General features: G+C 38.4%; 1 protein-coding gene and 1 pseudogene across 57 annotated transcripts in view, besides 1 other annotated feature; one reads left to right on the top strand and one right to left on the bottom strand.

The window, feature by feature from the left end:
- The window catches only part of SPIDR (scaffold protein involved in DNA repair), a 475429-nt gene that overhangs the window by 142809 nt on the left and 307373 nt on the right, over positions 1–25247 (bottom strand). The window lies entirely within an intron of this gene.
- On the top strand, positions 827–1649 carry LOC100507422 (ubiquitin conjugating enzyme E2 N pseudogene; annotated as a pseudogene).
- Positions 16484–16983: an enhancer, noted in NCBI's record as "H3K27ac hESC enhancer chr8:48489077-48489576 (GRCh37/hg19 assembly coordinates)". NCBI's record gives its function as "activates a minimal SCP1, AML or CMV promoter by ChIP-STARR-seq in primed H9 embryonic stem cells {active_cell/tissue: H9 hESC(primed)}" and the evidence as "EXISTENCE:reporter gene assay evidence [ECO:0000049][PMID:30033119]".

Here is a 25247-nt window from a genome sequence, read left to right as displayed (position 1 = left end):
AATACTGAGATAACATAAAGGTTAGAATTATCTGGCAAAGATTCTAAAGCAGCCATTTAAAAAAGCTTTAATAAGCAACCTTGACGCACTTGAGACAAATGAAAAAAAATAGTCTCAGCAAATAAACAGAATAAATATTTCTTAAAAATGGAAGTTTCAGAACTAAAAAAATAGTGAAAATAAAAGAATAGGTTCAACAGCAGAAAGGAGGAGAAAGAGAAAAGAATCAATAAAGTCGAAGATAAAAATAATAAAAATTACCCAATATAAATAATAAAGGGAAAACAGACTTAAAAAAAAAGTAAAAAACCTGGCTGGGCATGGTGGCTCATGCCTGTAATCCCAGTGTTTTGGGAGGCCGAGGCGGGCGATCACCTGAGGTCAGGAGTTCGAGACCAGCCTGACCAACATGAAGAAACCCTATCTCTACTAAAAAATACATAATTAGCTGGGCGTGGTGGGGCATGGCTGTAATCCCAGCTACTCGGGAGGCTGAGGCAGGAGAATCGCTTGAACCTGGGAGGTGGAGGTTGTGGTGAGCCAAGATCGCACCATTGCACTCCAACCCGGGCAACAAAAGCAAAACTCCTCTTCAAAAAACAAACAAAAAACCCCCAACAGAACCAAGGACCTGTGGGAAGAAAGAAATAGAAATGGAAGGCTATAGATAAAATAATACAGGTACATACAAGAGGCTTTCCTACTCCTCTTGAGTTTTCTAAATTTTTATTGTAACAAAAATTATAACATTGTCTGAGGTGGTTCTAAATGTATGCAGATAAAACATTAAAGACAATCATATTATAAATAGGGAGGGAGGACTTCTACTCGTGCGTGAGGCAAGCGGAGCCGGAGACTAGACCAGAGGCCGAACTCGGGTTCTGATAAGATGGCAGGGCTGCCCCGCAGGATCATCAAGGAAACCCAGGGTTTGCTGGCAGAACCAGTTCCTGGCATCAAAGCAGAACCAGATGAGAGCAATGCCTGTTATTTTCATGTGGTCATTGCTGGCTCTCAGGATTCCTTCCCCCTTTGAGGGAGGGACTTTTAAACTTGAACTATTCCTTCCAGAAGAATACTCAATGGCAGCCCCTACAGTATGTTTCATGACCAAAATTTATCATCCTAATGTAGACAAGTTGGGAAGAATATGTTTCGATATTTTGAAAGGTAACTGGTCCCCAGCACTGCAGATCCGCACACAGTTCTGCTATCAACCCAGGCCTTGTTATGTGCTCCCAATCCAGACGATCCATTAGCAAATGATGTAGCAGAGCAGTGGAAGACCAACAAAGCCCAAGCCATAGAAACAGCTAGAGCATGAACTAGGCTATATGCCATGAATAATATTTAAATTGATCCGATCATCAAGTGTGCATCACTTCTCCTGTTCTGCCAAGACTTCCTCCTTTTTGTTTGCATTTAATGGACACAGTCTTAGAAACATTACTGAATAAAAAAGCCCAGACATCTTCAGTCCTTTGGTGATTAAATGCACATTAGCAAATCTATGTCTTGTCCTGATTCACTGTCATAAAGCATGAGCAGAAGCTAGAAGTATCATCTGGATTGTTGTGAAACGTTTAAAAGCAGTGCCCCCCCGCCCCGTTTCTATTTACTTCCCCCATCCTGGTTTAAGTATAAAGCACTGTGAATGAAGGTAGTTGTCCGGTTAGCTGCAGGGATGTGCGTGTTTTTCTTTATTTTATTTTTTTTGAGGGGGGAGGTAGTTTAATTTTATGGGTTCCTTTCCCCCTTTTTTGGTGATCTAATTGCATTGGTTAAAAGCAGCTAACCAGGTCTTTAGAATATGCTCTCTAGCCAAGTCTAACTTTATTTAGATGCTGTAGATGGACAAGCTTGATTGATTGAACCAAAATGGGAACATTAAACAAACATCACAGCCCTCACTAATAACACTGCTGTCAAATGTAGATTCCCCCCTTCAAAAAAAGCTTGTGACCATTTTGTATGGCTTGTCTGGAAATTTCTGCAAATCTTATGTTTTAGTAAAATGTTTTTTGTTATTCTAAAAGATAAATAAATAAATAAATAAATAAATAAATAAATAGGGAGGGAAAGGGGATATAAAGGGAGGTATGGTTTCTATACTTCACGGAAACTGGTAAAATTTTGACCCAGTAGACTGTGCTAAGTTACATATATGTAATACCCAGAGCAAGCAATAAAATATCTATAAAAAGAGATATACACCAAAACGTTATAAATAAAATTCTAAAAAAATTAATGTTCAAGTAACCCATATGAAACCAGGAAAAATAAAACAAAAAAAAAAACCAGAGAACAAAGAAAACAAAAAGTAAAAAGGTACACTTAAGCCCTAATGTATCAATAATTACACTGAGGATAAATGGTCTAAATAAACCAATTAAAAGACAGAGATTGGCAGAGTAAATTTATGATCCATCTATATGCCGTCTACAAGAAACTCACTTCAAATACAGACATATAGGTAGGATGAAAGTAAAAAATGAGAAAAGATACATCATGTAAACATTGATTAAAATATAGTGGGAGTGCTATATTAATATCAGATGAAGTAGATTTCAGAGCACAGAAAACTCCAAATATAGAAAGGCACATTACATAATGACACAAAGATCAATCCACCATGAAGACATAGCAATCCTAAATGTATCTGCAACAAACAACATAGATTCAAAATACATGAAGCAAAAACTGATAAAACTCAAAGAATAGACAAATCCACAATTAGAATTGCAGACATCAACATCTCTCCCTCAACATTTGATAGAACTAGAGAGAATATCAGAAAGAATACAGAAGAGCACAACACCACCATCAATAAACAGGTTCTAGCTGACATTATAGAATACTCCACCAAACAACAGCAGAATACATATTTTTTTCAGGTGCCCACAAAATGCATGTGCCATAAGACACATATAAACAAATTTAAAAGAACTGAAATCATATAGAGTATATTCTCTAATCACAGTACAATCAAACTAAAAATCAATAACAGAATGATAACATGAAATTCTCCAAACACTTTGAAATTAAACAACATATTTCTAAATAATCCAAGGGTCAAAGAGGAAGTCTCAATGAAAATGTAAAAACAAACACTGAACTAAATGAAAATACAAATTTAACCTATCAAAACTTGTGAGAAACAGCTGAAGTGATACTGAGAGGAAATTTTACAGAACTTAAAGCTTACATTAAAAAAGAAAAAAGTCTCAAATCAATAATCTAAGTTCTTACCTCAAAAACCTAGAAAAAAGTAGAGCAAAATAAACTCAGAGAAAGTGAAAAGAAATAATTTTTTTTTTTTTTTTTGAGACAGAGTCTTGCTCTGTCACCTGGGCTGGAGTGCAGTGGCACGATCTCGGTTCACTGCAATCTCCGCTACCTGGGTTCAAGCAATTCTCCTGCCTCAGCCTCCTGAGTAGCTGGGATTACAGGTGCCCACCACCAGTCCCGGCTAATTTTTATATTTTTAAAGTAGAGACCAGGTTTCATTCACCATGTTGGTCAGGATGGTCTCAAACTCCTGATCTCAGGTGATCCACCCACCCCAGCCTCTCAAAGTGCTGGGATTACAGGGGTGAGTCACCGTACCCAGCTGGAAATAATTAAAGAGCAGAAATAAATAAAATTGAACAGAAAAACAACAGAGAAAAAAACAATGCAATAGAGTTATTTGAAAAGATCAATGAATTGACTAAAAAATGAAAAAAGGCAGAAGATACAAATTACCAATATCAAGAATAAGACGGAGGCTGTCACTACAGGCCCTGTACATATCACAAGGCTAGGTAAAGTACAATGGACAAGTCTACATACATTCTCACAACTTAGATGAAATGGACAAATTTCTCAAAAAGAAACAAAAATAACTACCACAACTCATGCTATATGAAACAGATTATTTGAATAGCCTATAACTATTAAGGAAAATAAATATGTAATTTTTTTTTTTTGTTTTGAGATGGAGTCATGCTCTGTTGCCCAGGCTGCAGTGCAGTGGTGTGATCTCGGTTCACTGCAACCTCCTCTGCCTGCTGGGTTCAAGCAATTCTCCTGCCTCAGCCTCCCGAGTAGCTGGGACTACAGGCGCGCGCCACCATGCCCGGCAAATTTTTTTGCATTTTTAATAGAGATGGGGGTTTCACCATGCTAGCCAGGCTGGTCTCAAACCCCTAACCTAGTGATCCGCCGCCCTCGGCCTCCCAAAGTGCTGGGATTATAGGTGTGAGCCACCATGCCCGGCCAAATTTGTAATTTTAAAACTCCCAAAAGTGGTATCTCCAGGTCCAGATACTTTCACTGGAGAATTCTAACAAATGGGAAAAGAAGAACTAGCACCAATTCTACACACTGTCTTCTAGAAAACAGAAGAGGAGGAAACACTTCCAATCCCTTTTATAAAGCAAGTATTACTCTGATACTAAAACCAAAGACAGTACAAAAAAAAAAAAAAAAAAAAACAAACTATAAACCAATATACCTCAATAACACAGATACAAAATTCTTTAACAATATGTTAGCAAATAGAATTTAGCAATGTATAAAAGAAGTTATGCAATATGACCAAGTGGTGTTAATTCCAGGCAAGATGGCCTTGTTTGGTATTTGAAAATCACCTTCACCAAGTTGAAGGCTGAAGGAGAAAAATCAGATGATTACATTAGCAATGTGAAAAAACCACTTGACATAATTCAACGTCCATCCTTAATAATAATTTTAAAAAACCTCTGAAATCAGAAAGAGAACTTCCACAGCTTAATAAAGAATTATCAACAGAAATCCCACAACTAGCATTAAAATTAATGATGAAAGAGTAGATGCTTGCCACCTAAGATGGAAAACAAGGCAAAAATTTCCTCCCTCACAACTTTGATTCAACATAGTACCAGAAGTTCTAGCTAGTGCAATAAGACAAGATAGGTGGGGAAAGGCATACAGATTAAAAAGAATAAATAAAAATGTCCTTATTTAAAGGTGGCATGATTGCTTACACAGGAAATGGCAAGGAATCTACAAAATAACTCCTAGAACTATTAAGCAAGGTTGAAGAAACCAACACACACAAAAATTAGGTGTATTTCTACATATTGTCAATGAATTCATGGACACCAAAATGGGAAAAACATACCATTTAAAATTGTAAAACTAAAAAAAAAAAAAGACCAAAATAACCCATGTCAGTGTGAATCTCACAAAACATGTAATGACTTATATGCTGAAGCTACAAAACACTGATAAAATAAATCAAAGATCTTAACAAATGGAAGACATATTTATGGATTGAAAAACTCAAAATCATAAAGATGCCAAAATCAAGGAGCTCCCCAAATGGATCTATAGGCTTAAAGAAATTCCCATCAATTCCAGCATGATTTTGTTTGCAGATACATACGTGTATATATATATATATATATATATATATATATATATATATATATATATATATATATATATATGCTAATTTTAAAAGTTGCAAGGAAAGGCAAAGGAACTAACATAGCTAAAACAATTTTGAAAAAGAATGAAGTAAAGGAGATCACTTTCCCTAATTTAAAGACTTATTTTATAACTATAATAACCAATATTATATGGTGTTATTGAAGGGATAGACACATAGATCAATGAAACAGAAGAACCCAGAAATATACTACACAAATATGCCCAACTGATTTTTTTTTTAAATTGATCTCCACAGTGTGATTTTTGTTTGTTTTTGTTTTAGAGATAGGGTCTCACTATGTTGCCCAGGCCAGCCTCAAACTCCTGGGATCAGGTGATCTTCCTGCTTTAGCTTCCTGACTAGATGGGACCACAGATACACTGTGCACCACCATGCTCAGCACCAGTTGATTTTTTTTTTTTTTTTTTTTTTTGAGGCAGGGTCTTGCTCTGTCGCCCAGGCTGGAGTGCAATGGCAACATCTCGGCTCACAGCAACCTCCGTCTGCCTCCCAGGTTCAAGTGATTCTCCTACCTCAGCCTCTCGGGTAGCTGGGACTGCAGGTGCGCCACCATGCCCCGTTATTTTTTTTGTATTTTTTTGGTAGAGATGGGGTTTCACCATGTTGGCCAGACTGGCCTTGAAGTCCTGACCTCAAGTAATCTTCTCGTCTCTGCCTCCCAGAAATAGGCCCCTGTGCGCAGCCTACCAACTGATTTTTGACAAAAGTGCCAAGGCAATTCAATTAAGGAAGGATAGACTTTGGATAATCATAGGCAGAAAAATATAAGCTTTAACCTCATTCTCACAACTTATATACCATTTAACTCAAAATTGATGATGAATATAAACGTAAACTATAAAACGAGAAAAATGTTAGGGAAAAATTTAAGAGAAAATCTTTAGGATCTAGGACTAGGGAAAGAGTACTTAGACTTAAGATAAAAAATTTGATCTGTTTAAAATGAACTTGAGGCCGAGCGCAGTGGCTCACGTCTGTAATCCCAGCACTTTGGGAGGCCAAGGCTGACGGATCAACTGAGATCGGGAGTTCGAGACCAGCCTTGCCAACATGGTGAAACCTCTGTCTCTACTAAAAATACAAAAATTAGCCAGGTGTGCTGGCACGTGCCTGTAGTTCCAGCTACTCGGGAGGGTGAGGCAGGAGAACTGTTTGAACCCAGGAGGCGGAGGTTGCAGTGAGCTGAGGTCTTGCCACTGCACTCCAGCCTGGTCGACAGAGCGAGACTCCCTCTCAAAAACAAGCTAACAACAACAAAAAAAACTTGATAAACTAGAACTTATCAAAACTGAAAACTTTTGCTCTAAGAAAGACCCCCTTTGGAGGATGGAAAGACAAGCTAGAGACATAGGGAAAATCATTTCAATTTCAAACCACATACCAAGAAAGGACTAGTATTTAGAACATATAGAGAATTCTGAAAACCACACAGTATAAAAAATGAACAATCCAATTAAGAAACAACAGGTATGAACAGACATTTCATTGAAAAGCTATATAAATGGCACATTAGCACAAGGAAAGATGTTCTACATCATTAGCCATTAAGAAAATGCACATTAAAACCACAGTGAGGCAAAATGGCTAAAACAAAACATAATATCAACATTGAATGCTGGCAAGGATGTGGAGAAACTACATTGCTCATATACTGCTGGCAGAAATGTAAAATTGTATAACTACTCTGGAAAAGTTTGGCAGTTTTTTTCTTTTGGAAAAAAAACCCCACAAAACTAAGCACGCAACTACCAAACAACCTAGCATTTGTACTCCTGGGCATTTATCTCAGAGAAATGAAAACTTATGTTCATATGAAGACCTACATATGAATGTTAGCAGCTTTATTAATAATAGTCCCAAACTGGCAACAACCTAAATGTCTATCAATGGGTGAATGGTTAAACAAAATGTTAAATCCATATCATGGAATACTATTCAGCAATAAAAAGAAACAGACTATTGATACAGACAATGACTTGTATTAATCTCCAGAGAATGATGCTAAGTGAAAAAAGCCAATACCTAAAGAAGTGGAGAGCATATTTTGGTTGCTATGGTTTGAATATGTGCCCCTCCAAAACTCATGTTGAAGCTTAATCCCCAATGTGGCAGTATTGAGAGGTGGAGCCTTAAAGAGATGACTGGGTCATGAGGGCTCTGCTCTCATGAATGGATTAATCCACTCATGAATTAATGGACTAATGGGTTATCATGGGAGTGGGATTGGCGGTTTTACAAGAGGTAGAGAGACCTGACCTAGCATGCTCAGCTCTCTTGCCATGTAATGGTGGTGCCATCTCAAGACTCTGCAGAGTCTCCACCAGCAAGAAGGCCCTCACCAGATGCAACCCCTCGACCTCCATAAGTGTAAGAAATAAATTCAGGCTCCATAAGTGTAAGAAATAAATCCCTCTTCTTTATAAGTTACCCAGTTTCAGGTATTCTGTTATAAGCAACAGAAAATAAGACAGTGGTTGCCAGGGGTTTAGGTTGTGGGGTGGGGGTAGGGAAAGGAGAAAGAAGGAAGTTGATCTGTCTGTATTATTTTGTACAACTAAATGTAAATCTACAATTATCTAAAAATAAAAAATTTAATAAAAAATAGACATTGTATAACATTAATCAATCTAAAACAACATTCCTCTCAATCATCCCACTAGTCATTTTATGTTCATGAGTTTTCCAGTCTTTAAGACTTCCATATATTAAGAAAAAACACCAATTAACAATGGTCAGTATCTAATTTCTGTCCAATTATCAGTACTAGTTACACAAACTTAAGTTTTGGCTTTATGCAAAATTTCTAGTACTCAAATTTCCCTGATAGAAGATAAAATGCTTATTTTTAACTTCACGTACTATGTTCTGGGCTCAACTTGCCTAACACGGAGGCATATGATTAATTATACGTAAAGCTTATACTCCCATGATTTCTTTTCAAGAGGTAGAGTCTCATTCTCTAATTGTCATTTATCCTAGATACATTTTTTTCTTAGTATCTAATACCTAATAAATTTCCATATAATTTTTCCAATACAAACTTGACATAATATTATTTTAAGCCAATAGCCGATAGGTATGGTAACCCAGAGATAAGGAAAAAAGTTGTGAGAAAGAGAGAAAGGAAGGGCAGGGGCAGATGGAGTGGGAGGGGGAAAGGCAGAGAAAGCCACAGGAGAATAAAAGGGTACGGTGGGTGCAGTGTCTGGCACTGCCTGGGGCTGACTGCAGATCTGATGCACACTGTCAGGTGGATGAAAGGTGTTATAAACTTCTAGCTTTTTGATTCAAGTTAATTTTTTAAAGATATGATAAAGTAATACTGTTTTAACAGCTAAGAAGAAGGAAGCAGTAGGTAAAGTGTATGTGTGTATTTAGAACCTCCTAGTTTGCAGATAAACATACCAATATTAGAACTATGTATGTTCTGCCCAGTCCAAGGTGTTAAGGCCATTCTTCCCAACTCAAGTTACTCAAATTAAATTAGTCTAGAACAGAAATTATTCATAAGGAAATTTAGTTTGTTGCTTTAAACCTTATTAAGTAACAAAATGATGGTCCTTAGGATACAGAAAATACAGTAAGCCTCTTAAAACAGATACAAGCAAGTTTTGATTAGCATATTACCTGTTTCTGCAGAAATGTTATTGAAAATACTTAATTCTCTAATTTAAGGTAAACATATATTTGAAATCTTGTCCATTCTTCTCATATACTCACAAGTCTCCTTTATCCCCCAAAGATAACTACACAGGTAAGCATTAATCTAAGTAGATCCAAAAGATCATAGTTTCTGAATTAGGGAATCTGAATGAGTTTAAAGTATGATTCAGCATAATGTGAAAAGCCTGAAATTTTAGTCACAAATATAACGTGACTAAATATGATATGATCTATATGATCTGGGAAATCAAGTCACATAATAGCACAAATCAAATAGATTTGTGAGGCAAATGGATATGGGAAAGATCTTGAAATCCATCTCCAGGTCCATTTGGTTCATTCCACTCTCCCTTTAATGACCACTTGTGACACAGCGGACACGGTGACAGGGGACTGGGAATCCAGTCCAGGACAACAAGGCTGCTAAGAGGACAGTTTCACTGTAAAGGAAAAGGTTGTGACTCGGATGTGATGCTCCAAGGGCGGCCCCTCTGGGAGCTGCTAGGAGGCTTCCCAGGAGAGGCAGGACAAAGTGTGCTGTGGGTGTGTGAAGGGAGAGGAAGGGAGCACATGGGCACTGCCCAGGGACAAGGACTGCACTTTGGAGTCAATGTAATCAGCATGCCACACTATCACATCATCAAGTTTCTGCAGAAAAAATTCATGTTCTGTTTCCTTTATTAGCAGGCAGAGGAAATCACATCTTTTAAACATTCATATCTATAGTACCAGTGCTATCTATCTAGATAGCATGAACTTTCCATTTCTTTTTATGCTGCAATCAATCCAACACCACGTGGTGTGGCCTTTACAATCTCTCTACAGATCTCATTGTCACAAATGTTATATGACAAACAAAAAGCACGTTGATATAGCATGTATAGATTGAGACTGAACATTCAGCATGTTTAGCTTTTGTGAAGATTGAACTGAAACTAAGAACAAAACCTAAGTTGTTAAATCTCACGTGATAAGTCACACATATACCCAACACTACCAATGAACATTATCATGATGTTGGACTCCCACTGATACTTTTTTTTTTTTTTTTTTGAGATGGAGTCTCGCTCTGTCACCCAGGCTGGAGTGCAGTGGCGCGATCTTGGCTCACTGCACGCTCCGCCTCCTGGGTTCACGCAATTCTCCTGCCTCAGCCTCCCAAGTAGCTGGGACTACAGGCGCCCGCCACCACGCCCGGCTAATTTTTTTTTTTTTTGTATTTTTAGTAGAGACAGGGTTGCATTCTTACAAGAAACTTTTGAGGATATGCATTTACTTTCCAGTAAATTCTCAGAGCATACTTGAGAAGTTGGTGGCCATAGTGGTAGGACAGGCTAAAATGTGGAAGAGTTACACACACAAATAAACTACACAAAAAAAACTAGACATAACAGTCTTCAGTGAAGTCTAAGTGCTAGAGTTTCTGGTGGAAAGCTTTTAAAAATATACGTGTGTGTGTGTGTGTCTGGTGGAAAGCTTTTAAAAATATGTGTGTGTGTGTGTGTGTGTGTGTGTGTGTGTGTGTGTGTGTAATTTGTTGTTGTTGTTTAATGGAGTCTTGCTATGTTGCCCAGACAACAAGTGACCCTTCAGCCTCTGCCTCCGAAAGTGTTAGGATTACAGGAATGTGTCACCACACCTGGCTGCTTTTTTTAAAAAATAGAGAATATTGTATGATCAATAAAAATGACAATGTGTCAAAATGTTTTCTGATTACATCTCAGAAATGGCTGCCTAAACAAACGCTTTGCATTAAGAACTATTTCCACTTCTCACCTGAGAATGTTATATACGTGGAACTCAATTAAACAGGGAACAATTTAATAGACTTAAGAAAAAGTAATTGAGACTAAAAGACCAAAGAAGGAAAACCATGTGAAACATCTTTTCATTTTCTATCACTATCAGCACTGTCAACGGTGAAATACCCTCCTAGCAACTTGTTTTAGGAATTCCCAGTTTCACGAAAGATGTTTACTTTTATTTTCCTACTAGTTAGGTTTTCTTGATTTTTTTCTGTGCTTAGCAACAAATTAAATCAAGAATACATTTTACACTGAATATGTAGATAGGGACAATGTAACTAACATGTAGATTACTATAACTACCTTAAAAAACAAGCAGTTTTTTTTTTTTTTGAGATGGAGTCCCACTCTTGTCACCCAGGCTGGAGTGCAGTGCTGCAATCTTGGCGGCTCACCGCAACCTATGCCTCCCAGGTACAAGCAATTCTCCTGCTTCAGACTCCAGAGTAGCTGAGATTACAGGCACCCGCCACCACGCCTGGCTAATTTTTGTATTTTTAGTAGAGACAGGGTTTCACCATGTTGGCCAGGCTGGTCTCGAACTCCTGACCTCAGGTGATCCACCCACTTCAGCCTCCCAAAGTGCTGGGATTACAGGAGTGAGCCACCATGCCCAGTCACAGTATTTATTCCAAATCATAAATTAGGATCGATTTGCTTGTTTACTGTCAAGGAAGAATGTGTTTTCGTCTGTGGAGAGTGGCAAAGAGGATTAGTGGATTAATAGGTATTAATGCAGTGACAGAAAGAAAACAAAGGCAAATAGAAATTTTTTTCTTCCTTCCTTCTCCTCCCTTTTTTCCTTCCCTCTTTTAATGGTTAGCTATCTAAAGGGGGATAGATTGAGAACTGAAGTTGTCAGAAAATATAATCTACATTTTTCTTTTCATGGAAGGCATGCTTGGGATAATGTCGTTTACAATTCAGTTTCAACTCTGGGACCCACTGGCCAAAGGCTGAAGCTGGATGGTAGATGCATCTTCTGTCTGTCCAGCAGGGCTACTATGCTGGAGCGCCTTATACAGGGAGAGATACTGTGGTGATCATGCTACAGGTGTATATTTTTTAACTGACTCATTAATTTGGGGGAGAAAACCCAGCCTTTCACTCAAAAACATGACCCCACTTATAACTGGGGAATCAAAGAAAGCCCTCGTTTAATTCTAGCTTTGCAAACTTACTAATATCTACTTAGGAAAACATTATTTTTCAATTTAGACTATGAGTTAAAATCACTTTGAAAATGAAAATGACTGGGTTTTTCACTAGATTTACTGAAAATAAAAAATAAACTAGGATCTCTGGGTGGGGGCTAGCTGAGAGGGCTTCAAGTTCATAGAGAGACATATACCAGGAAACAACAAAACACAGTAGGTTACCGGTGCTGCAATAGAAAGAATATGGCCTTCTACACGGGAGACAGAAGATGGACTTAATCATGTTAATTAAGTCCCTTCTAGAATGTTGCCTCTGTGAGAGAAGGGGCTTTGGCTGGGTGGCTCACCAGTGCCTGGAAAATCAATGATTTTGGAATGAATGTCATTCCTTCTTCCAGTTTCCTGGGAAAAGTTGCTCTTTTCTCTGTGCTCCAATGGTGCTTTCCACACTGTCATGTTCAAGGGTCTGCCTCTACAACTAAAAACTGAACTTCTAGAATACAACAGCTGTTTCTTTTTTTGCCTTTCTTTTTTATTAGGTACTTCACAGTATCTGACATGTGCAAGGGTCTCAACAGATGTTTACTAAATTAATGGATAAACACACATTCACATTTACAGGGAATAGAGGAAGGCAGGAGAGTACATTTGAAACAGATAAACCAGACCTTGTAACAACTGAGTCCCGGGTGTTTTAATGTAGGCATCTAAGAATGGCATAAATTTAAAATAAAGGCTTAGAATAAAAACGCTGGGTGGCATGTGACCAAGCACGTGAGAATCTAATGCACAGCACACGATGACATGGGAGGAAGGAGAGGACGTATAGGTTTTTGACCTAAAAACTCTGGAATTAAATCCTGGCTTTGCCACTTACAAGCTGTGTGGCTGTGGACAAATTTAATGTCTTTGTGACTCGGTTTTTATAAATCGGGAGCATTCAGAGTAGATGTAAGCACTACACAGATTTCTTGTGAAAATGAAATTAATGAATTGATGCAGAGTTCCGAGAAGAGCTTCCCACGTGCAAGGGCTCAGTGGGAAGGATGGTCGGCACTGCTGCTGTCACTACTGTGAATTATACCTTCAGCAATTTCAAATTAGTTGTTGTCTATTGTTTAGCAAAAACTAGGGTTATTTAGTGTTACTTACTCAAAACCTATTATCTTTATCCTCCTAAATATTAAAAAGAATCACAATCATTAGCAGTGGATATCACTTTTCCATCACCTGCTCATATACACAACATTTACACTGAGCCTTCTTTGCTACCCATACTAGCTGGTTAGAGTCTGATGGCTTTAATTCACTTGCTATGCTCTTAGTCCTCTTCACAACAACCCCACAGGGTAAACATGACTATTCCCATCTTCGGAGGAGGTTAAATAACAACCAACTAATTGTATACCACTAGTCCTAGTCCATGACAGGGCTGTAATACAAACCAACTGGCTTCAAAGCCAGTCTGTTCTCTTTCCAAGATACCAGACCATCTCCCAGGAGGGAGGACAGGACTCCCTACTTGGATATGGGTAAGGAAGATCCTGCCACAATCAACCCTGGAGGAACCAACATATGGGAAAGGGAAGGGACACAAACTGACGGGGCAGTTGGCTAGCCAGGCACACGATTAGATGGGGCTCACATGAAGGCATGAAATTGGGTTGGGGGTGGGGATGGTGGGGTAGAGGAAACTATGCTTCTCTATCTGCTGACAGTTATCAAGTGTTAGGCAGTTTGGCAAGTTACCATGGAAAGATTTATATGTACTGTACAAGGGTCCCTGTGGTGACAGAACCTTGAAAGCCACCTTCTACATTGTGTTGGCCAGTAAGGTAGCCACTGGGCCATGTAGCTAATCATATTTAAATGAAATAAAGTAAAATGAAATAAAATAATTTTAAAATGCAGTTCCTGGGTTGCATGACCCAGATTTCTGGTATTCAGTGTGGCTAGTGACTACCATAGTGGACAGCACAAAAAATAGAACATTTCCATCAATGCAGAAAATTCTGTGGGGTTATCATAATTCTGGTTCTCAAGACAGACAATAAATCACATTCTAGTTACTTAGTAAATTCTTTTTGACTGACTGGATTTGAAAAGGGCTACGATATCTCAGTGACTTTCAGTGCTAAATTCACAGGCTTTGACACCACCTCTGTTTGTGACTTTGGACACCTGCATCAGTACACCAGCATGAAATATGACTCTGACAAGGCAATGTCAATAGTGCTTGCTACTAATGGATTTGTTAAAATAGCAAAATATTCTGCCCACCTTCCCAGCCATTTAGTGACTGGGTACCACTCCTCCTCACCAAAAATCAGATTTACTCTAATAAAACTTTAAAAATACAAGTCTTAGAAAATGACTCTAAACTGAAGCATAAAGATAATTTCAGAAATAAGAAGTTTAAGCCTCATATTCCTTTTATTTTCAGCTTCTTATTTGACAAGACTTCATTCAAAGGTGTTTCTCTACCTTCCTACCCAAGTCAGACAGTTACATATAACTAAGAAACTGATAAAAATATTGACTATAAAAGACTGGCATTTATGATTGTATGTGCTACTTTAAAATTCCCCAAGTGTACTTGTCTAATTCCCTTTTTATCAGAATAAATACAACACTGAGGAACAGACCATATTTTATATGATTTATTCATGTATGAAAGTGAACAATATAGTAAATAAATGCATTTTTTTCTAATTTAGATTCACACTATGGCAGTAGGATCTGTCTACAGGGTTTGGTTTATGAGTCTAGCACTCAAAAGTAACAAGTTTCAGACATTTGGCTTCATTGAAGCACCTTGTTACTAGGTCAGTAGTAGCATAGCGCTATGGCTGAGTTTCCATACATATGATTTCTGGGTAAAGAACTGTACTTGTTCTATTTGATTATTATTATTATTTTTTTTTTGAGATGGAGTCTCGCTCTGCTGCCCAGGCTGGAGTGCAATGGCGCCATCTCTGCTCATTGCAAGCTCTGCCTCCCAGGTTCACGCCATTCTCCTGCCTCAGCCTCCCAAGTAGCTGGGATTACAGGTGCCTGCCACCATGCCCGGCTAATTTTTTGTATTTTTAGTAGAGACAGGGTTTCACCGTGTTAGCCAGGATGATCTCAATCTCCTGACCTCGTGATCTGCCCGCCTCGGCCTCCCAAAGTGCTGGGATTACAGGCGTGAGCCACCGCACCCGGCTGATTATGTTTTTTGAAAATCATGAGTAGCAACCTTTATAATGAGATTCAAATGTATGTATTAACAAGTGAAGTGCATAGTGTAGTCTTGAAAGAAAACTGAATACCTTAGTATCAGTTATGATTAGTCTTTAAGTTATCATTCCAACCCTGAGTTATAAAGCAACTCCTGAATACAAATCTAAATACATTCCCACTCTTGCCAGCACTACTCTTCCCAGGCCAACCATAAATCTTTATCTTACAGCCTTATATCTCCCAGTGTGACTCTAGAGCAGATATTTTCAAATGTTTGCAGGAATCAGAATCACAGCCTTGTTGAAACAGGTTGCCGGGTCCCACCTCCAGACTTTGATTCAGCAGGTCTGGGGTGGGGCCCCCTAATGTGCATTTTTAACAAGTTCCAAGGTTATGTTGATGCTATTGGACCCACAACCACATTTTGAGTATTACTACTCTTAAAAAAAACCCACACAAGACCATTTACCTCTACCTAATTTTACTTAAGTATAGTTGTTCCTAGATGTCTACAAGGGATTGCTTCCAGGATCCCCGCGGATACAAAAATCTGCACTTTCTCAAGCTGGTCCTCCATACACACAGGATGCCTGCGAATACTGTATTTTGATCTGCATTTGGTTGTGGATGCAGAACCCACCAATACGGTGGGCCACCTTTATTTATTGAAAAAAATCTGTGTACAAGTGGACCCACACAGTTCAAATCCATGTTGTTTAAGATGCAACTGTACCGAGCACACATCTCAAGTTTACCCTTTTTGGCTGATGAAACAGCTACTCAACTCTCAGGATAGGATGTAGGGTAAATGACAAGAAACCTTTCTATGGAGCCTGTCCACTTTGCCAGTCCTGGCAGGAACTGCTTGGTGTTCCATGACATCAGGTTGATTTCTGTACTCAGGACAGCTATAGGATTTTAATGCATGAACTTGTTGACATGAACAGTTTAACTTTCTAGCTTTCTAACTAACAATAAAGATCTCACTCCATGAGATAGAAGAAAAATGTAAAAATCATAACTTAAGTCTCTAGGCCCACAGCTCAATTGCTGCAGAGAAAATCACAATTTGAAGAACATCTTTCTTCACTTGACTGATTTGACAAAGGCTCCTAAGCATCTCATCTGTGGAATCAATAAGTCATGCCAACAATACGCACATTTTATAATAAACATCCAATTCACCATTACACATTTTTCTCCAGGTGAAAACTATTTGGAGTGGTACTGTTGTATGGCAGGTCAAATACAGAACATGAATTCTAAAGACACGAATTCAAGTCTCAGTTTTGTCACATACAAGCCATAATATCACCTAAACTAATGGAATCCATTTTATCTTGTATACAGGTATAACGATATTTATATTAGAGCATTTTAAGGCAATAATGGATATGAAGGTATTTGATCCATTAGACTGCTTTATAAAAATGATATTTATGGCCAGGTGTGGTGGCTCATGCCTGTAATCCCAGCACTTTGGGAGGCCAAGGTGGGCAGATCATCTGAGGTCAGGAGTTTGAGACCGGCCTGGTCAACATGGTGAAATCCTGTCTGTACTAAAAATATACAAATTAGCCAGGTGTCCTGGCCCACACCTGTAATCCTAGCTACTTGGGAGGCTGAAGCACGAGGATAGTTTGAACCTGGGAGGCACAGGTTGCAATGAGTCAAGATCGTGCCACTGCACTCCACCCTTGGCAATAGAGTAAGACCCTGTCTCAGGCTGGGTCCAGTGGCTCATGCCTGTAATCCCAGCACTTTGGGAGGCCAAGGCGGACGGATCACCTGAGGTCAGGAGTTCGAGACATGCCTGGCCAACATGGGGAAACCCCGTCTCTACTAAAAATACATAATTAGCTGGGTGTGGTGGCATGTGCCTGTAATCCTAGCTGCTCTGGAGGCTGAGGCAGGAGAACTGCTTGAACCCCGGAGGCGGAGGCTGCAGTGAGCTGAAATTGTGCCATTGCATTCCAGCCTGGGCAAGAGTGAGACTCCGTCTCAAAATAAATAAATAAATAAAATAAAAATAAATAAATAATAAAAAAGACCTTGTCAAAAAAATGTTTATTATTCTTCAAAGATATTCGATTTATAATATGCCTATTGTAGAAAATTTTCAAAATAGTATTTCTCACATAACAGATCGTTTAAAATTATCACTTAACTACAAATTAAAGATAAACAAAAAAAAAAAGAAACTTTTTTTTTTTTTTAAAAGGAATCTCGCTCTGTCGCCCAGGCTGGAAAGCAGTGGCGCGATCTCGGCTCACTGCAACCTCCGCCTGCCAGGTTCAAGTGATTCTCCTGCCTCAGCCTCCTAAGTAGCTGGGATTATAGGTGCGCACCACCATGCCCAGCTAATTTTTGTATTTTCAGTAGAGACGGGGTTTCACCATGTTGGTCAGGCTGGTCTCGAACTCCTGACCTTGTGATCCACCTGCCTTGGCCTCCCAAAGGGCTGGGATTACAAGTGTGAGCCACTGCGCCTGGCCGAAGCTTTTTTCTTTCTTTTTTTTTTTTTTTTTGAGACGGAGTCTCTCTCTGTCGCCCAGGCTGGAGTGCAGTGGCGCGATCTCGGCTCACTGCAAGCTCCGCCTCCCGGGTTCACGCCATTCTCCTGCCTCAGCCTCCTGAGTAGCTGGGACTACAGGCGCCCACTACCACGCCCGGCTAATTTTTTTTTTGTATTTTTAGTAGAGACGGGGTTTCACCGTGTTAGCCAGGATGGTCTCGATCTCCTGACCTCGTGATCCGCCCGCCTCGGCCTCCCAAAGTGCTGGGATTACAGGCGTGAGCCACCGCGCCCGGCCAGCTTTTTTCTTAACTACAGAAGTTAAGAAATATTTAGTGTATTCTTTTAAATCAGAAATGTATAAATTTCCAAACACACAGGTAACAAAGCCAACTTCATTTCTAGGATGTCAATAACCACAAACCTGAATGGTGGGGACCACCTTCAAAGAAAACAAGACACTTAGAAACAAAAAGATGAAGTGGCAATTCCCAAGACAAGCAGGGGTCAGAATAAATGACTCGATTTCTACTTAGGCTAATTTTTATTAGAGTTCTGGGAAGAATAACCTGACTCAGGATAGGATGAAGAACCAATCACATCAGCAATAACAGCTCAGGGGTTCTGTTTTGTTTTCTGGTTTAAAAATTCTAGTTGAACTGAAAATGCTGACAAAGTTAAAAAAAAATCAAGAAACATCATAGTAATTATTCACATGAATAATAATCTGTAAATAGATTCAGATCATCACAAATCAGCAAAAGCAGAAAGCCAATAGTGTACTTTAAAAGGTATAAAAAGGAATTCTAGTAATGGTCACCATAATACAGATTGCCTTGATAAAAGTTGACACTGTTCATATGTAAAACTTTCCCTCTCCTCCCCTCCCCTCCCCTCCCCTCTCCTCTTCTCAAGATCGAGTCTTACTCTGTCGCCCAGGCTGCCTCCCGGGTTCAAGCAATTCTCCTGCCTCAGCCTCCAGAGGAGCTGGGATTACAGGTGCCTGCCACTACGCCCAAGTAATTTTTGTTTTTATTTTTTTTTATTTTTATTTTTTAGTATTTTTAGTAGAGATGGGGTTTTGCCATGTTGGCCTGGCTGGTCTTGCTCCTGACCTCAAGTGATCCACCCGCCTCAGCCTCCAAAAGTGCTGAGATTACAGGCGTGAGCCACCACATCCGGCCTGTAGAACATGTTTTAATGGTTGGATGTTTTGATGTCACAAGGTTGTAGAAGCAGAAGTAAAACTGGAGATGGCACAAGATAAGAACAGATTATATTATTTGAATAATGCAACTGAGAATAAAAAGGGAAAAAAACAAATCAAATGAATTGAAAAGTGTTTTTCTAAAATCCACAAAATATCCTAAATTGAACTTCCAGTCAAAAATTTATGTAGGCATTCAGAACAAAAGGATTCACACTGACTGGCAATAAAAGGATTTTTGGAAGACAATGACCACAAGAAAGATGAAACTGACATTACAAACATAAAAGAATCAACAAAGTAAGACCAAGAAATATTGTCCTCAGAAATCATAAAGCCCAACTTTAATTATTACCACATAGAGGCAAGCACTAAGCTTAGTTTAGCTTCAAACAGAACAAACCTCAGCTAAAATAGATAAATGTGCAAGGCTGGTTAAAAGACAATGCTTTGAATTCTTAAAGCAGTAGGAACATTCTTGGATTAAAAGTCTGTTTTACAGAGGAAGCATAATTTCTCTTGAATGACGCTGCTTATTTTCACAAACAAAGAAATTAGGGCAACAAGGACAGCAAAAACCTCAGAATGTCACATAGCAACCAAGGCACAGCAGAACTATAGCAGGGCGTGTATCATATGCTAACATCAAAATAATACCCTAAGGTGAGATTCAACTACCTGCCTACGAGAAACACTACAATAAGCAGAGTCAGAAACATATGCACAATTATTGGTCTTCCAAAAGTGAGACTGGTGGCCTGAGCAGGAAAACTGCATCTCTACAGCTACCAGAGGCTGCAGTCCAAAGAGGAAAACATCCGGGGCAGGAATGAAGCCTCCCAGACTTTGCTTCTCCTCCAACTTACTCCTGTCACCTTCCTCCAGGCTGATGAGGATGGAACATAGACCTGGCCCTGGTCTCCGACATCATGTTGCCCCCTACAAATGTGATGGCTCAGCAGGGGGGTATCTTGCAGGGCCTGAGGGCTGCTGGGCAGCTACTGCGCTCATGACAGACCCCTCAATATACTCTGACCTTCCTGCCTTATCACAGAGGACTACTGAGTGTGCCCTGCCTGAAGGTAAAGTGTGTGGCTACAGAGAAGTCAGTACTAGGCCATTATACTTTCAAATCTTCATCCTCCAAGTTTGGTAACACTAACTTGAAACATAAACTTTTAACTAGTCACTTACTGTGCCCACACACACTTCCAAGTCTCTCCAGGGGCTCACTGTGCTAAGCCTGCCGAAAAACAATCAGGACAAACACCAAGTGGACTTTTCACTCGTAACTTCACTGTGTAGACTTTCTGATTTATAATTTAGACAACTCATTTTAAATAGAACTTCAAGTCATTTTATACTTTAGGTATATTTGTCTTAAACTTATTACCTGAAAAATTAATGTAAATGGGTTTTTACTTAACAAACCCAAAATGCTGTTTGTTAAAATAAAGACAAACATAGAAAAATTTGTTTTCATCAACGATGTCATTCTCTTGTCTGCAGGGTATCTTATTTAGCACGCTTCTCTTCCTGCACTGGGCTTAGGGAGCTTCCTTGGGGACAGGCAGCGGCACTGCCCCTGGTCCATGAGAGATGCTGTGTCAATGTGTGGGAGAGCTCAAGAGGGAAACAGACCCATCCGATGGAAGCCTTTTTCATCTTTTATTTCTGTCTCAAAAATGTTTCTCAATTGCAAACCACATCTTCAAAGGAAACAATACAGGAATCGTACAAGTTATTTATTTATTTATTTATTTATTTATTTATTTATTTTAATTTAATTTTGAGATGGAGTCTTGCTCTGTCGCCAGGCAGGAGTGGCAGTGGCGCAATCTCAGCTCGCTGCAACCTCCACCTCCTGGGTTCAAGTGATTCTCCTGCCTCAGCCTCCCGAGTAGCTGGGACTACAGGTGTCCGCCACCATGCCCAGCTAACTTTTGTATTTTTAGTAGAGATGGGGTTTCACCACATTAGCCAGGATGGTCTCGATCTTTTCACCTTGTGATCCACCCGCCTCGAACTCCCGAAGTGCTGGGATTACAGGCATGAGCCACCGTGCCCGGCCCTCATACAAGTTTTTACACCTTTTTTTGACCAGTTTATTACTGATAATATCTTATCGACTGAATTCTTGGCCTCCTAAAATTGATAGTTAAAGATAGATGTATGTTAAGATTGTAAACTATCACTGTGCTGGGCTATAAATACAATGGTAAGGATTATCTAAGTTACCTTTATCAAAATAAACAGATTATTGATATGACATTCAAAACAGTCTGTGGTACCCTCTCAGGAAAACAAAATACTACCTAAATATTTTATATTATATCAAATATTACACTATTTCAGTTAAATTTTTTTCTAGTACATTTACTGAGCACTCACTACATACAAGAGATTACTTGGTACACCAATGGTTAGAAATGACAACAGAACCAACTTAAAAGTAAGCTTGATCTATTAGAAGAGGGAAAGCATAATATAATGTTATTATATTTATTTAATACAGTGTTCTCTCATCCACGGTTTTGTTTTTTGTGGTTTCAGTTATCCTCAGAACACCAAGGTACGAAAATAGGTGAGCACAGTACAATAAGATATTTTAGGAGACCACATTCACATAATTTTTATCACAGTATATTGTTATAATTGTTCTACTTTATTATTGTTGTTGTTAATCTTTACTTTGCCTTATTTATAAATTAACCTTTATCACAGGTATGTATGCATAGGCAAAAACAGTTTATACAAGGTTGAGTACTATGTATCCACTGGAGGTATTGGAATATATCCTCCTTGAATAAGGCGGCACTAGTATAATGTTTAATAATGGCAATTATGCTTATTGCTATAATGTTTGTATTTTATATATTAATTAAATTTGCATTTTATAAATTACTTTCCTTAAGTTACCTCATTTGATTCTTGTAACAATTCTGGGAGGGAAGTAGGATATATATGATTCTATTTTTCATTTTATTTCATTATTATTTTATTTCCTCCTCCCCCTGAGCTTTATTGAAATAAAATTGGCAAATAAAAATCAAATACATATAAGAGGGACACAATGTGATGTCTGAAGTACGTATAGAGTGTGAAATGACTGCCACAGCATTAACATCTCCATCTACTCACATGTTCTATGTGTATGCTTACAATACTTAAGATCCACTCTCTCAGCAAATGTCAAATATACATTAACTGTAGATACCATGCTGTCCGTTAGGTCTCCAGAACTTACTCATCTTATAAATGAAAGTTTGGACCCCTTAACTAATATCTCTCCATTTCTCCCACCCTCAAGCCCTGGTACACCCTTCTACTCTGTTTCTACGAGTTCAACTTTTTTTTTTTTTGAGACAGAGTCTCGCTCCGTAGCCCAAGCTGGAGTGCCGTGGTGCGATCTCGGCTCACTGCAACTTCTGCCTCCCGGGTTCAAGCAATTCTCCTGTCTCAGCTTCCCGAGTAGCTGGGACTACAGGCGCCCACCACTACACCTGGCTAATTTTTGTATTTTTAGTAGAGACGGGGTTTCACCATATTGGCCAGGCTGGTTTCGAACTCCTGACCTTGTGATCCGCCCACCTAGGCCTTCCAAAGTGCTGGGATTATAGGCGTGAGCCACCACACCCGGCTAAAACCTTTCATCTTAATCATTACTCTTATTGTATATCTTCTTTGCAGAAAGAATCTTTTCAGATTCTTTGCCCATTTTAAAAATTAGGTTGTCTTTTTATTACTGAGTGGTAAGAATTTTTTATATATTCTCTATGTAACTCTCTTATCAAATATATGATCTGCATATACTCCCCTCCATTCTGTGGGTTAACTTTTCACTTTCTTGATAGTGTCTTTTGAAGCACAAAAGTTCTTAATCTTGATGATGTGCAATATTTTTTTCCTTTTATTGCTTATGCTTTTAGTGTCATACCTAAGAATCCATCACCACATTCAAGGTCAGGAAGATTTCTTCTTGTGTTTTATTCTAGGAGTTTTATACTTTTGGCTCTTACATTTAGGTCTCTGATTCATTTTGAGTTAATTTTTGTATATGTTTAAGGTAAAGATCTCTATTATTTTGCATGTGGATATCTGGTAGTCCCAGCACCATCTGTGGAAGACCATTATTCTTTCCCCCTTGAATGATCTTGGTACCTTTGTTGAAAATCAACTGACCATAGAGGGGTTTAGAGGGCTTTCTAATACATTTCATTGGTCGACATGTTTATCTTTATGTCAACACTGTCTTGAATACTGTAGCTTTGTAGCACTTTTTTAAATTGGAAAGGGTGAGTCCTATAACTTTCTTCTTTTTCAAGGCTGTTTTGGCTATTCTGGGTCTCTTGGGTTTACATATGAATTCCCATGATCATCTTGTTAATTCTACAAAGAAGCCAGATGGGATTCTAATAGGAATCATGTTGAATCTACAGATCAATTTGGTGAGTATTGCCTTCTTAACCCTATTAATCTCTTTCAACATTGTTTTGTAGTTTTCAGAGTGTATTACACTTGTTTTATTAAATTTATTTCTAAGTATTTTATTCCTTTTGGTGCCACTGTAAATAAAATTGGTTTAATTTCATTTTCAGATTGTTCATTGCATTGTACAGAAATACAGCTGATTTTTCTATACTGACCTTGTACCCTGCAACCTTGCTAAGCTCATTACTTCTATCAGTTCTTTTTAGTGAATTCCTTAGGATTTTCTACATTTGAAATCATGTCATCTGTGAATAGAGAAAATTTCACTTCTTCCTTTCCAACATGGAAGCTTTTTAATTCCTTTTCTTGCCTAATTGTCCTGGGTAGAAACTCCAGTACAATATTCAACAGAAGTGGTAAAAATGGATATCCTTCTCTTATTCTATTGTAACTGGAAAATATACTCTGTAAGACCTGAATATTTTAACTTATTAAGACTTGTTTGATGGTTTAACAAATAATCTATCCTGGAAAATGTTCCATGTGCACTTGACAAGAATGGGTATTATGTTGTTAGGTGGGAATATTCTGCACGTCTGTTAGGTTTAATTGCTTTACAGTGTTGTTCAAGTCCAATATTTCCTACTGATCTTCTTTCTAGTTGTTCTAATCCCTATTGAAAGTGGGAGTAATTAAGTCTCTAATTATTATTTTAGAACTGTCTATTTCTCCCTTTGACTCTGTCAATTTTTACTTCTTATATTCTGGGGCACCTTTGTTAGGTGTATATATATCTGTTATCTCTTCTTGCTGTATTGAACCTTTTAATTAATATATAGTGTCCTTTATCTCTTGTAACTGCTTTTGATTTAAAGTTTATTTTATCTACAATGATATACCTATCTTGGTTCTCTTTTAGTTAATATTTGCATAGAATATCTTTTTCCATCTTTTAACTTTCAACCCCTTCTGTCCTCATATGTAAAGTATGTCTCTTGTAGACAGCATATAGATGAATCCTGTTTTTTTAAATGTAATCTTCTAATCTCTATCTTTTCATAGTTGAATTTCATCCATTTACATTTTTTCCATTTTTAATTGTTATCCATTTACATTCAATGTGATTACTGATAAAGAAGGATTTATGCCTGCTCTCCACTCCATGTTTGGGCTTTAACAGTTTGACTCTAATATATCTTGGCATTAATCTCATAGTGTTTATCTTGCTTGGAGTACATTGAGCTCATGGTGGCATATATTCAGTTCTTTCCTTTTGGCGGGGATGTTTTGCTCCATTATTTCTTTAAATATTTTTTCTGCCCCTTTCTCTTTCTCTTCTGATACGTGAAAATCCTCTTTGCTCACCCTGGCTCCAGTGTGCTGCACCAGGAAGGCTTGTGGACTGACAGCTGCCTGCCATGAGGTTGAGGGTGGAAGATGGTAGCTGCTACAATGTGAAAGCTGAACTTGACCATGATTTTCTGAAATTTACCAGAGACTTTGCCCCTGGATGCTACAAGTGTTCTTCTATACTCAGAGTTCCAAAATAGTTGTCTCACACAGTTCCTTACACAATTAATTCAATTGTTTTGGTGAAGGCACAATTTCCTGGAGCTTTCTACTCTGCCATCTACCCTGATACCATTCCAATAACAACTAATATTTACTGAGTACTTAGTCTGTGCCAAGTATTGTTCTAACACTTTTCATCTTCATATTGGCCCTATAAAGAAGTGTATTACGAAGATCTCCATTTTACAGATAAACCGAG

The sequence above is a fragment of the Homo sapiens genome, chromosome 8 (assembly GCF_000001405.40).
Source record: "Homo sapiens chromosome 8, GRCh38.p14 Primary Assembly".
Lineage (NCBI taxonomy): Eukaryota > Metazoa > Chordata > Mammalia > Primates > Hominidae > Homo > Homo sapiens.
Note: the sequence above shows the minus strand (reverse complement) of the source record. Positions and strands in the feature narration are given on the sequence as shown.